The sequence below is a fragment of the Homo sapiens genome, chromosome 4, assembly GCF_000001405.40.
Source record: "Homo sapiens chromosome 4, GRCh38.p14 Primary Assembly".
NCBI lineage: Eukaryota > Metazoa > Chordata > Mammalia > Primates > Hominidae > Homo > Homo sapiens.
Genome location: NC_000004.12, coordinates 122,570,602 through 122,583,403, shown reverse-complemented (window position 1 = coordinate 122,583,403; position 12,802 = coordinate 122,570,602). Strand labels below are relative to the sequence as shown.

General features: G+C 40.6%; 1 annotated feature.

Annotated features, from left to right (window-relative positions):
• Positions 7,892–9,091: an enhancer, noted in NCBI's record as "BRD4-independent group 4 enhancer chr4:123495468-123496667 (GRCh37/hg19 assembly coordinates)". NCBI's record gives its function as "activates an origin of replication core promoter dependent on BRD2, P300/CBP, MED14 and CDK7 cofactors, and independent of BRD4, by STARR-seq in HCT116 cells {active_cell/tissue: HCT116}" and the evidence as "EXISTENCE:reporter gene assay evidence [ECO:0000049][PMID:35650434]".

The window sequence follows — 12,802 nt, the reverse complement described above, 5'->3', positions numbered from 1 at the left end:
CTCCATCTCAAAAAAAAAAAAAAAAAATGTTGCCAAAGAACAAGAGCTGACGTCCCCTCTCCAGTTCCAAGTCCCCAGTACCTCTCCAGCATTCTGCACCTCAGTAATTCTCCACCAGTTTGTGCCTCAAGCTGGCCACACATCCTTGCTTCCAGGCCTTGGTCCCTGCTTTTCCCACGTTTGCTGGGTTCACTTCAGATTAGACAACATCTTCCCTGGAAAGCCCCCCTTGGCCCCACCCTCGCCAGTGCTACCAGCACAACACTCTGTCCGTATGGTATTGGCATATCTATTTCTTTCACTAGACTATAAGCTCCCTGAAGGCAGAAACCCTATCTTGTTCTATTTTGAAATTTCTGCATCTAGCCCAGTACCTGGTGCGTGGTATTAATACTAATGATGCGGATGATGTGCTTATTACATGCCAGGCTCTGCCTTAAGTACTTTACGTTGATTAACTCATTTAATGTTCACAGCAACATTATGAGGTAGGTACTGTTATCATTTCCATTTTACAGGAAAAGAAGGCACAAAGTTTTTAAGCAACTTGTCCATTATATCTACTAAGCAGTAGAGCCACAATTTGAACCCAGCCAATTGGGTTCTATGGATCATACTTTTAAACTATAAACTATATTGCTCTTAACAAATTCCAGACAAAAGGATGGATGAATGCAGATGATATATGTAAGGATGGATAGATGGATGGAAGAATATATGAGTCACTAGCCAGTTAAAGAAAGCCAGGTCATGACAGGAATGTGCCCACTGTAGGACTCTTCTAAGGAAGACTCAGTTAAGTGCAAATTTTAATGCATAGACTATTTCACACTAAACCAGGCATCTATATTGGTAAACACACAAACACAAAAAAGCAGATAGTAAGGAACCCAGGGAAATAGCACAGGTTTTGGAATCACAGGGCTAGATTTGAGTCATTACTGCCAATTTCTAGCTGTGCAATTTGCGACCAGTTACTTTGTCTAGTGATACTTGCCTCACAGGTGGAGGATATAAAAGTATCCAGCAGAGTGCCTAGAAGTTAAGAACCTCCCAATAAACTTTAGTTCCTTCCCTGCTCAAGAGAAATGATTATATCACCTGGGTCTGATTTATCTTAAGTAGAAAAATGCCGAGAACAGGACTGGAGGCAGGTTGTCTCTGGATTCCCTGCTCTCTTCATGAGACTGGGCTTAGGTTTTTGAAAAGAGGGGCAGTCTCACAGCTTTGCTAGCGCTATCAATTCTGTAGATTCTAGACTTGGTAGACAACTCACATTCCAACTTGAAAAAATATGCTGAATATACAAATGTGATCTCCTTTAGGGTAGAGTGTTTAATATTTGTATTTTAATGCTTTTTTCAGATAATAAAAGTAAACAGGCTGGGCACGGTGGCTCACGCCTGTAATCCCAGCACTTTGGGAGGCCGAGGTGGGAGGATCACAAGGTCAGGAGATCGAGACCATCCTGGCTAACATGGTGAAACCCCATCTCAACTAAAAATACAAAAAATTAGCCGGGCGTGGTGGCGGGCGCCTGTAGTCCCAGCTACTCAGGAGGCTGAGGCAGGAGAATGGTGCGAACCCGGGAGGCAGAGCTTGCAGTGAGCCGAGATTGCGCCACTGCACTCCAGTCTGGGTGACAGAGTGAGACTCCGTCTCAAAAAAAAAAAAAAAACAGTAATCAAAGATCATTGCAAAAAATTAAAGAAATAAGTATAAAAATGAAAGGCTAGTTCATGTTTACAATCTTGGAGGATTTTTAAAATTTATTTCTATGTATATAAGCATGTACACATTTTAAAAAACAGAAATAGGATTAAGCTGTATATAGCATGCTGTCATTATTTTTACTTAGTTATATATTGTGGATAACTATCCTAACATAGGTATACATTATCAACTGCACAGCATTCCATGGAAAGGATGGACCATAAACTATTTAACAATACTGTAAACAACATTTAAATGAAACCGTTATTATGAACAATACTTCAATGAAAATATTTGTACACACATCCTTGAGCCCCTTTTCTATTATTTCCTTTGATTAAATTCCTGAACTAGGAATTGCCAAGACAAAGACAGGCATTTTTATTTTGATACATATTGTCAAACTCCCCTAGCAAGGTAGTATTTTAACATCACCTGGATAGGAAAGTGACCCCACACTCTCCTAACACTGAGTATAGTCATGTTTTTAACCTTTGACAAACAGAGCAAAAAAAAAAAAAAAGGTTTCTCCTTTTAACTTAAATTTATTTCTTTCTCTTTCGCTCCCTTTCTCTCTCCTTCCTTCTTTCCTTCCTTCCTTCCTTCCTTCCTTCCTTCCTTCCTTCCTTCCTTCCTTCCTTCCTTCCTTCCTTCTTTCCTTCCTTCCTTCTTTCCTTCCTCTCTCAATCTCTTTCTCTTTTTCTTTCTTTGTTACAGGGTCTTGCTCTATCACCCAGGCTGGAGTGCAGTGCTGTGATCATGGCAGCCTCGACCTCAAGGGATCCTTCCACCACAGCCTCCTGAGTAGTTGTTACTACAGGCATGCACCACCACCTGTTAATTTTTTTTTTTTTTTTTTAAGAGAAGGGGTCTTGCTATGTTCCCCAGGCTGGTCTTGAACTCCTGGGCTCAAGCAATCCTCCTGCCTTGGCCCCTAGAGTGCTGGGATTACAGGCATGACCCACCATGCCTGGCCTTAAATTTATTTTGCTAGTGAATTACACGCATTTAAACATTTATTGGTCATTTGAAATTTTTTTTGTGAATTTCTACTTCATGCTCTTAGCACATTCTCCTATCTATTATCAGTTTGTAGGAGGATGTATTCATTTTTGCATGTCTGATGGCTGGTGTAGAACCTAGCACATAGCAGCCATTCAATAAATATTTGTTGACTCTCCATTCACTGGCTGCACAGGTTTGTTTATCTGCACAGGACACAGGGGTTTCTAAGTTTGAATCCTGACTCTGCCAATAACTTATTGTCTAACTTTGAGAAATTCATCTTCTTGGAATTTAAGAATGCTGACCACAGCAAGACCCCCAGTAGGCCTGACGCCATGCATTCCCTGACCATAATACTTTAAAGACAATAGATGCTATACTATAAAAATTGCTGAAGAATAGCCCAGGAATAAGAGTGAGGATTATCCACCTGGTATACTGAGAAGCACCACATGGCTGGCCTGTCCTCAAACCTTCCTCTTTCTTCATCTGCCAGAAGACCAACATTCATCTTCCAGCAGCCTTTATACTTTATAAGTCCTCATGTGCATGCTGTGTAGGAACCTGTGAGATGTCACTGGCAATCATTTGGACCATCATTCCATAGACAGCAGATGCTGTAGGGAATGATCTCAGGGCATTTTATTTGTCTACGGTTATACATTGGCAACACTTTAGAAAAAGTTTTGCACATTCAGCCCTCACAGTAACCTGTGAGAAAGTGCAAAAAAAAAGGTACTCATTTAAAAATGTTTCCAGACTTCAGTAATGTTAAGATGCAAGAAAAAATATATTTTTATATATAAATATATAATATATATTTAGCATATATATACACTATATAAATATATAATATATATTTAGCATATATATATATACTATATAAATATATAGTAATAACCATATTTTACAAGAAAGATGGAAAGAGATGGAATGTCTTAGCCAAAGAATCAAGATGTGAATGTGTGTTTCCTTGGTTCAGTGCGCTTTATATGATAGGTTTGCTAAAGCAAAGAGGGTAAAAAAGAGCTTAAAGCTTGAGATCAAGTCTGCCAAAGGGGAGGAGGGCCTGGCAGGGAAGAGGAGGGGAGCTGAGAGGTTGGGCCACAAGCCGGCAGAACCTTGCCCAGTTTGTGATTTTTGCCTTTGGCCACCTTGTTTCTGACCATAGATTCCAAACATTCCAAGCTGTGAGAACTATCTGTCTTACCTTTTATTTTCCTTTATCATTCTATTTTCCTTACTGGCACCTTGTCCCATCTTCAGATGTGTGTCATTTTCCCCATTTCTACCAGACACATCCACCAGAATGTTCACATTCTGAGATAGAAAAGACTCTTGGCTCAAATCAATGAATTTCCAATGGTATAACTTAGGAGCCATGATAGACTGTGGGAGAGGCATTTTTGTCTAGACATTCAAATTTATATGTGTCTATATATAAATTTAAAGTTATAACTAAAAACTATTTGTGACCTTGGTACTATATTTAACAAATATGCCAGTCTGTTTTTGCGATGCTGATTTGGTAGCTTGTTTAATGGCACCACTGCATCAGGTGAGGCTGAAATACTTTGTTTCTTACAAGGCTTTGCACATGCCCATTTTACTTTTGAAATCTTGTTGCCATCAGCTTCTGTCCCCAGACAGCCAAGTTAAGCTGGTTGAGTTAGACCACAGTAGGTTAAGATTTTAGGCTTGCTTGAGGGAGCTCTGCCTCCCCCTCTCTAGGGGCTTTATGGCAGTTATCAGCCAGCAGTTGACAGTAACACAAATATCTACGAAGCATCTATAGCAGCATGGAGTCACCCATATGTTAAGGGAGAACTCAACAAAAACGTGATTTTCAGTGTTGTAAAATCTGCCCCGATTGACTGCCTAACTTCCTCCCCTTCATCCCGTTTTAAGAGAAATGAGGCTTTTTGTCTGATAAAGTTCTTTCTTTGCCCACATGAAAGAAGTGCGTATGTCTCTGTGGAGCAATTAATTGCAAGCTTGTTGAAGAACAGTTGTCTGTGGAGACAACCACAGCTTCGGTTTTCAGGCCACCAGCCCCTATGGCTGTCTTTCTTCCTACCATCTGTTTAAGCAGGAGCAGTAGTTTGTGCGAACTCCAACTTCAAGCATGTCATTTCCGAAACCACAACAAGTCTCTTAAGCTTCCTGAACAAAGTGCTCAGAGTGGAAAGCCCTGAAGTTCTCTTGGGCCTCCTAAAACCACAAAGCTAACTACTGAGCAAAGCCCCAGAGCATCCGAGCACAAAGTGCCTTCCTTGGAGCTCATCATAGAACATGAAAAAGTTATTGAGAGTATGATTAAGGAGGGGTGGGCAGTGTCTGCCCTCTCCGCTTAGATTAATAACACCATCTAGATAGTCTGCACCAGTGATGGTTTACAACCTTTACAAGCACAAGGACCTACTTGTAATATACAATTTTAAAATAATGGCATTATTAGTAGACTCTAATTAAGAAAGTCTGTAATAACTAGAAGCTAATGTGAATTCAGTAGTTCTTTTAAATAAATTTATATTTTACTAGTTATAATAATCTTCATATTAAATATTTTTGAAAAATATTGGTACATTTATTTGCACAAAACATTTTTTCACTACTGAAACGATCCCTCTAGAATCGAGATTCACGGACACTTTGCAGTAACTCCATGGCCCACTAGAGGTCTCACCAGAGGTTAGGGGAACTAACTAGGTGTAGTAACAGGTCTGCAAGCTCTCATGGAAGAGAATCAACTATACATTTGGATAGTTTCAATGCAATTGAATGCAATATTTCAATTTTCAATAGCAATATTTATTTATGGATCTAGGATTTCTGGAATTCCTCTTGTCATATAATGCCAAGAACTGTGTATCTCTGAAGATCAGTTAAGTTTTCTTGCTCCAGGCAATGGAAACTATATAATTCCCTGCATTTCCAGTTTGCATTAGCCATAATTTAGAACTAAATGCAATGCTTAGTTGTGGTAATCACCTTGTGCCAAAGTCCCTGTACTGTTTCTGCTCCTTCCTCAAGATTGTTTCTAGTTTGCCATCTTTATTTTTCTAATGTCCATTTGACTGTGATATTCATTGTAGCTCTCCTTGTCTCATTGAAAATAGATGGACATAAATTATAAACAAACACCCTCTTTAAAAGGCCCTCGTCTGTCTGTGAGTCCCCAGGGTAGCTAAAAAGGGTAGAATGCCCTGCATTTCTGGGCCACTAAGCTATTCTGCCAACATCTCCTCTGCTAAATGCATACTATGGACCATGTCATCCAATTTCCTAGGCCACATTTCTCTGAGATGATGGGGAGTACAGGGTAGGTACAGTGGTGGCTGAGCAATGTGACTCAGTATCACAACACCCACCCTACACAGGCCTGCAAAACAAAGCAAAGCAAAACCTCGTCAATTCTAAGAAATGTAAGAGACCTAACCAATGTCCATGGGCAGCAAAAGCTGCTCCTGCAGGTGCCAGGGGCTCTCCCCAACATTCTCATGCCAAACTCTCCTGATTACTGCTCCAGGAAACAAAAACTTTCCTTCTTTTCTATTTTATTTTTTAATCTGAACTGTTGCCTCTTTCTTGTTCCAGCCTGTCTCCTTTACTCTCAATCTACCTAATTTCTCCAAAGGACTAATGCCATTTTACCACTGGGGGGCAATGCAGATAAAGAAATGACGAATTAACAGGCTTGATGCTCTAGGCCACAAAGTTTTAGTTGTAAAATTATTCTGTATATTGTGCTTTAAAAACTTGTTTTTCTCCATGATGTTTTTTCTCTCTACTTTTAAACTCACATTATGGTGATGTGCACATTTATACATCTATATTCATATCAATGTTTTTATGAATAGGTTGTCTTCGATTCTCTCAGGCCTCTTTAAAACATGTCTCTTAGGACATAGTGCTGTGACATGTACATCAAAATAGAAGCCCAGACGTCATTGCATTCAACCAGGGCCTCTTTAGGGTACCAGCCACAAAGTTTGGATGATGAGATATTTTTTAGAATTAGCCCTTTCAGACAGTGTTGTGAGAGGACTACAGAATAAGGGGTTCTCTGAACTTTAAAGGAAGCCACTCTCCTGTTGGTAAAAATTACATACTTACAAATATCCAGTCTGTTGAGTAATTTCCCGCTTTATTATAAAGACCCTGGGAACTGATCAGCATATTGTGAATTGGTTAATGTGAGTCAGACCCTCTAAACTGGCACATCTGAGCTTGCTATGCGAGACTCCAGGTGCTGAGTGAAGCATGGTGACCTTACCAGGCCCTGCCTGAGGGCTAGTTGCTTTGCTCCATTATCACTAGGAGCCTACTCATAAATGTGGACATAGTATTTGCTTCACTTTCATTTTAAGAAAGAAAAGGATGTTAATGAGCAATAAGAAATTATCTGAAGGTATAAAACTTATTGGTAATAGTGGGTACATAAACAAATACAGAATATTGTAACACTGCAATTGTGGTGTATAAACCACTCATATCTTGAGTAGAAACAATAAAAGATGAACCTATCAAAAATAACTACAACAGCTTTTAAGACATAGTATATAATAAAATATAACATGAAACAACCAAAAGTTTAAAGGGAGGATTAAGTAAAAGGGTAGAGTTTGTATTAGCTTTTATCTTTGCTTCTTTGTTTTTGCAATCAAGCTTACGTTGTCATTAGTTTAAAATCATGGGTTATGGCTGGGCTCAGTGGCTCATGCCTATAATCCCAGCAATTTAGGAGGCTGAGGTGGGCGGATTGTTTGAGACCAGGAGTTCAAGACCAGCCTGGGTGACATGAAGAAGCCCCATCTCTACAAAAAATACAAAAATGAGCCAGGCATGATGGCATGTGCCTATAGTCGCAGCTACTTTGGAGGCTGAAGTGGGAGGATCACTTGAGCCTAGGAAGCAGAGATTATGGTAAGCCAAGATCACCCCGCTGCACTCCAGCCTGGGCAATGGAGCAAGACCCTGTCTCAAATAAATAAATGGATAAATCAATTAAATTAAATAACGAGTTATAAGATGTTATTTGCAAGGCTCATGGTAACCTCAAATAAAAAAACTACAACAAATACACAAAAAATAAAAAGCAAGAAATTAAAACATACTACCAGAGAAAATTACTTTCACAAAAAGGAAGACAGAAACGAAGAAAGGGAGAAAGGAAGGAAGGAAAAGAAGACCATAAAACAACCAGAAAACAATAAAATGGCAGAGGTAAGTCCTTACTTATCAATAATAATATTAAATGTAAATAGACTAAACTCTCCAGTCAAAAGACATAGAGTGGTTGAATGGAAAAAAATAAGACCTAACTATTTGCTGCCTATAAGAAACACACTTCACCTGGGGATGGTTCCAAGATGGCTGAATAGGAACAGCTCTGTCTACAGCTCCCAGCATGTGCGACACAGAAGACGGGTGATTTCTGCATTTCCAACTGAGGTACTGGGTTCATCTCACTGGGGACTGTCGGACAGTGGGTACAGGAAAGTGGGTGCAGTGCACCGAGCGTGAGCCGAAGCAGGGCAAGGCATCGCCTCACCCGGGAAGTGCAAGAGGTCAGGGAATTCCCTTTCCTAGCCAAGGGAAGGGGGGACAAATGGCACCTGGAAAATCGGGTCACTCCCACCCTAATACTGTGCTTTTCTGACGGTCTTAGCAAATGGCACACCAGGAGATTATATCCCACGCCTGGCTTGGAGGGTCCAACACCCACGGAGCCTCACTGATTGCTAGCACAGCAGTCGGAGATTGAACTGCAACATGGCAGCAAGGCTGGGACAGGGGTGTCCACCATTGCTGAGGCTTGAGTAGGTAAACAAAGTGGCTGGGAAGCTCGAACTGGGTGGAGCCCACCACAGCTCAAAGAGGCCTGCCTACCTCTGTAGACTCCACCTCTGGGGGCAGGGCACAGACAAACAAAAGGCAGCAGAAACCTCTGCAGACTTAAATGTCCCTGTCTGACAGCTTTGAAGAGAGTAGTGGTTCTTCCAGCATGGAGCTTGAGATCTGAGAACAGACAGATTGCCTCCTCAAGTGGGTCCCTGACCCCCGAGCAGCCAACTGGGAGGCACCCCCCAGTAGGGGCAGACTGACACCTCACACGGCCGGGTACCCCTCTGAGACGAAACTTCCTGAGGAACGATCAGGCAGCATTTGCTGTTCACCAATATTCGCTGTTCTGCAGCCGCCGCTGCTGATATCCACGCAAACAGGGTTTGGAGTAGACCTCCAGCAAACTCCAACAGACCTGCAGCTGAGGGTCCTGACCGTTAGAAGGAAAACTAACAAACACAAAGGACATCCACACCAAAACCCCATCTGTACGTCACCATCATCAAAGACCAAAGGGAGATAAAACCACAAAGATGGGGAAAAAACAGAGCAGAAAAACTGAAAATTCTAAAAATCAGAGCACCTCTCCTCCTCCAAAGGAATGCAGCTCCTCACCAGCAACGGCACAAAGCTGGACGGAGAATGACTTTGACGAGTTGAGAGAAGAAGGCTTCAGACGATCAAACTACTCTGAGCTAAAGGAGGAAGTTCGAACCCAACGCAAAGAAGTTAAAAACCTTGAAAACAGATCAGACGAATGGCTAACTGGAATAACCAATACAGAGAAGTCCTTAAAGGACTGGATGGAGCTGAAAACCATGGCACGAGAACTACGTGACAAATGCACAAGCTTCAGTAGCCGATTCAATCAACTGGAAGGAAGGGTATTAGTGATTGAAGATCAAATGAACAAAATGAAGCAAGAAGAGAAGTTTAGAGAAAAAAGAACAAAAAGAAATGAACAAAGCCTCCAAGAAATATGGGACCATCTGAAAAGACCAACTCTACATCTGATTGGTGTACCTGAAAGTGACGGGGAGAATGGAACCAAGTTGGAAAACACTCTGCAGGATATTATCCAGGAGAACTTCCCCAATCCAGCAAGGCAGGCCAACATTCAAATTCAGGAAATACAGAGAACGCCACAAAGATACTCCTTGAGAAGAGCAACTCCAAGACACATAATTGTCAGATTCACTAAACTTAAAATGAAGGAAAAAATGTTAAGGGCAGCCAGAGAGAGAGGTCGGGTTACTCACAAAGGAAAGCCCATCAGACTAACAACGGAGCTCTCAGCAGAAACTCTACAAGCCAGAAGAGAGTGGGGGCCAATATTCAACATTCTTAAAGAAAAGAATTTTCAAACCAGAATTTCATATCCAGCCAAACTAAGCTTCATAAGTGAAGGAGAAATAAAAAACTTTACAGACAAGCAAATGCTGAGAGATTTTGTCACCACCAGGCCTGCCCTACAAGAGCTCCTGAAGGAAGCACTAAACATGGAAAGGAACAACCAGTTCCAGCCACTGCAAAAACATGCCAAATTGTAAACACCATTGAGGCCAGGAAAAAACTGCATCAACTAACGAGCAAAATAACCAGCTAACATCATAATGACAGGATCAAATTCACACATAATAATATTAACTTTAAATGTAAATGGACTAAATGCTCCAATTAAAAGACACAGACTGGCAAATTGGATAAAGAGTCAAGACCCATCAGTGTGCTGTATTCAGGAAACCCATCTCACGTGCAGAGACACACATAGGCTCAAAATAAAGGGATGGAGGAAGATCTACCAAGCAAATGGAAAACAAAAAAAGGCAGGGGTTGCAATCCTAGTCTCTGATAAAACAGACTTTAAACCAACAAAGATCAAAAGAGACACAGAAGGCCATTACATAATGGTAAAGGGATCAATTCAACAAGAAGAGTTAACTATCCTAAATATATATGCACCCAATACAGGAGCACCTAGATTCATAAAGCAAGTCCTTAGAGACCTACAAAGAGACTTAGACTCCCACACAATAATAATGGGAGACTTTAACACCCTACTGTCAACATTAGACAGATCAATGAGACAGAAAGTTAACAAGGACATCCAGGAATTGAACTCAGCTCTGCACCAAGTGGACCTAATAGACATCTACAGAACTCTCCACCCCAAATCAACAGAATATACATTCTTCTCAGCACCAAACTGCACTTACTCCAAAATTGACCACATAGTTGGAAGTAAAGCACTCCTCAGCAAATGTAAAAGAACAGAAAGTATAACAAACTGTCTCTCAGACCACAGTGCAATCAAACTAAAACTCAGGATTAAGAAACTCACTCAAAATCGCTCAACTACATGGAAACTGAACAACCTGCTCCTGAATGACTACTGGGTACATAACGAAATGAAGGCAGAAATAAAGATGTTCTTTGAAACCAACGAGAACAAAGACACACCATACCAGAATCTCGGGGACACATTTAAAGCAGTGTGTAGAGGGAAATTTATAGCACTAAATGCCCACAAGAGAAAGCAGGAAAGATCTAAAATTGACACCCTAACATCACAATTAAAAGAACTAGAGAAGCAAGAGCAAACACATTCAAAAGCTAGCAGAAGGCAAGAAATAACTAAGATCAGAGCAGAACTGAAGGAATTAGAGACACACAAAGAAACCTTCAAAAAATCAATGAATCCAGGAGCTGGTTTTTTGAAAAGATCAACAAAATTGATAGACCGCTAGCAAGACTAATAAAGAAGAAAAGAGAGAAGAATCAAATAGACACAATAAAAAATGATAAAGGGGATATCACCACTGATCCCACAGAAATACAAACTACCATCAGAGAATACTATAAACACCTCTATGCAAATAAACTAGAAAATCTAGAAGAAAGGGATAAATTCCTCAACACATACACTCTCCCAAGACTAAACCAGGAAGAGGTTGAATCTCTGAATAGACCAATAACAGGCTCTGAAATTGAGGCAATAATTAATAGCTTACCAACCAAAAAAAGTACAGGACCAGACGGATTCACAGCCGAATTCTACTAGAGGTACAAGGAGGAGGTGGTACCATTCCTTCTGAAACTATTCCAATCAATAGAAAAAGAGGGAATCCTCCCTAACTCATTTTATGAGGCCAGCATCATCCTGATACCAAAGACTGGCAGAGACACAACAAAAAAAGAGAATTTTAGACCAATATCCTTGATGAACATCAATGCAAAAATCCTCAATAAAATACTGGCAAACCGAATCCGGCAGCACATCAAAAAGCTTATCCACCATGATCAAGTTGGCTTCATTCCTGGTATGCAAGGCTGGTTCAACATACGAAAATCAATAAATGTAATCCAGCATATAAACAGAACCAACGACAAAAGCCACATGATTATCTCAATAGATGCAGAAAAGGCCTTTGACAAAATTCAACAGCGCTTCATGCTAAAAGCTCTCAATAAATTAGGTATTGATGGTACGTACCGCAAAATAATAAGAGCTATTTATGACAAACCCACAGCCAATATCATACTGAATGGGCAAAAACCTGGAAGCATTACCTTTGAAAACTGGCACAAGACAGGGATGCCCTCTCTCACCACTCCTATTCAACACAAGTGTTCGAAGTTCTGGCAGGGCAATCAGGCAGGAGAAAGAAATAAAGGTATTCAATTAGGAAAAGAGGAAGTCAAATTGTCCCTGTGTGCAGATATGACATGATTGTATATCTAGAAAACCCCATTGTCTCAGCCCAAAATCTCCTCAAGCTGATAAGCAACTTCAGCAAAGTCTCAGGATACAAAATCAATGTGCAAAAATTGCAAGCATTCTCATACACCAATAACAGACAACCTGAGAGCCAAATCATGAGTGAACTCCCATTCACAATTGCTTCAAAGAGAATAAAATACCTAGGAATCCAACTTACAAGGGATGTGAAGGACCTCTTCAAGGAGAACTACAAACCACTGCTCAACAAAATAAAAGAGGATACAAACAAATGGAAGAACATTTCAAGCTCATGGATAGGAAGAATCAATATCGTGAAAATGGCCATAATGCCCAAGGTAATTTATAGACTCAATGCCATCCCCATCAAGCTTCCAGTGACTTTCCTCACAGAATTGGAAAAAACTACTTTAAAGTTCATATGGAACCAAAAAAGAGCCCGCATTGCCAAGTCAATCCTAAGCCAAAAGAACAAGGCTGGAGGCATCTAGCTGCCTG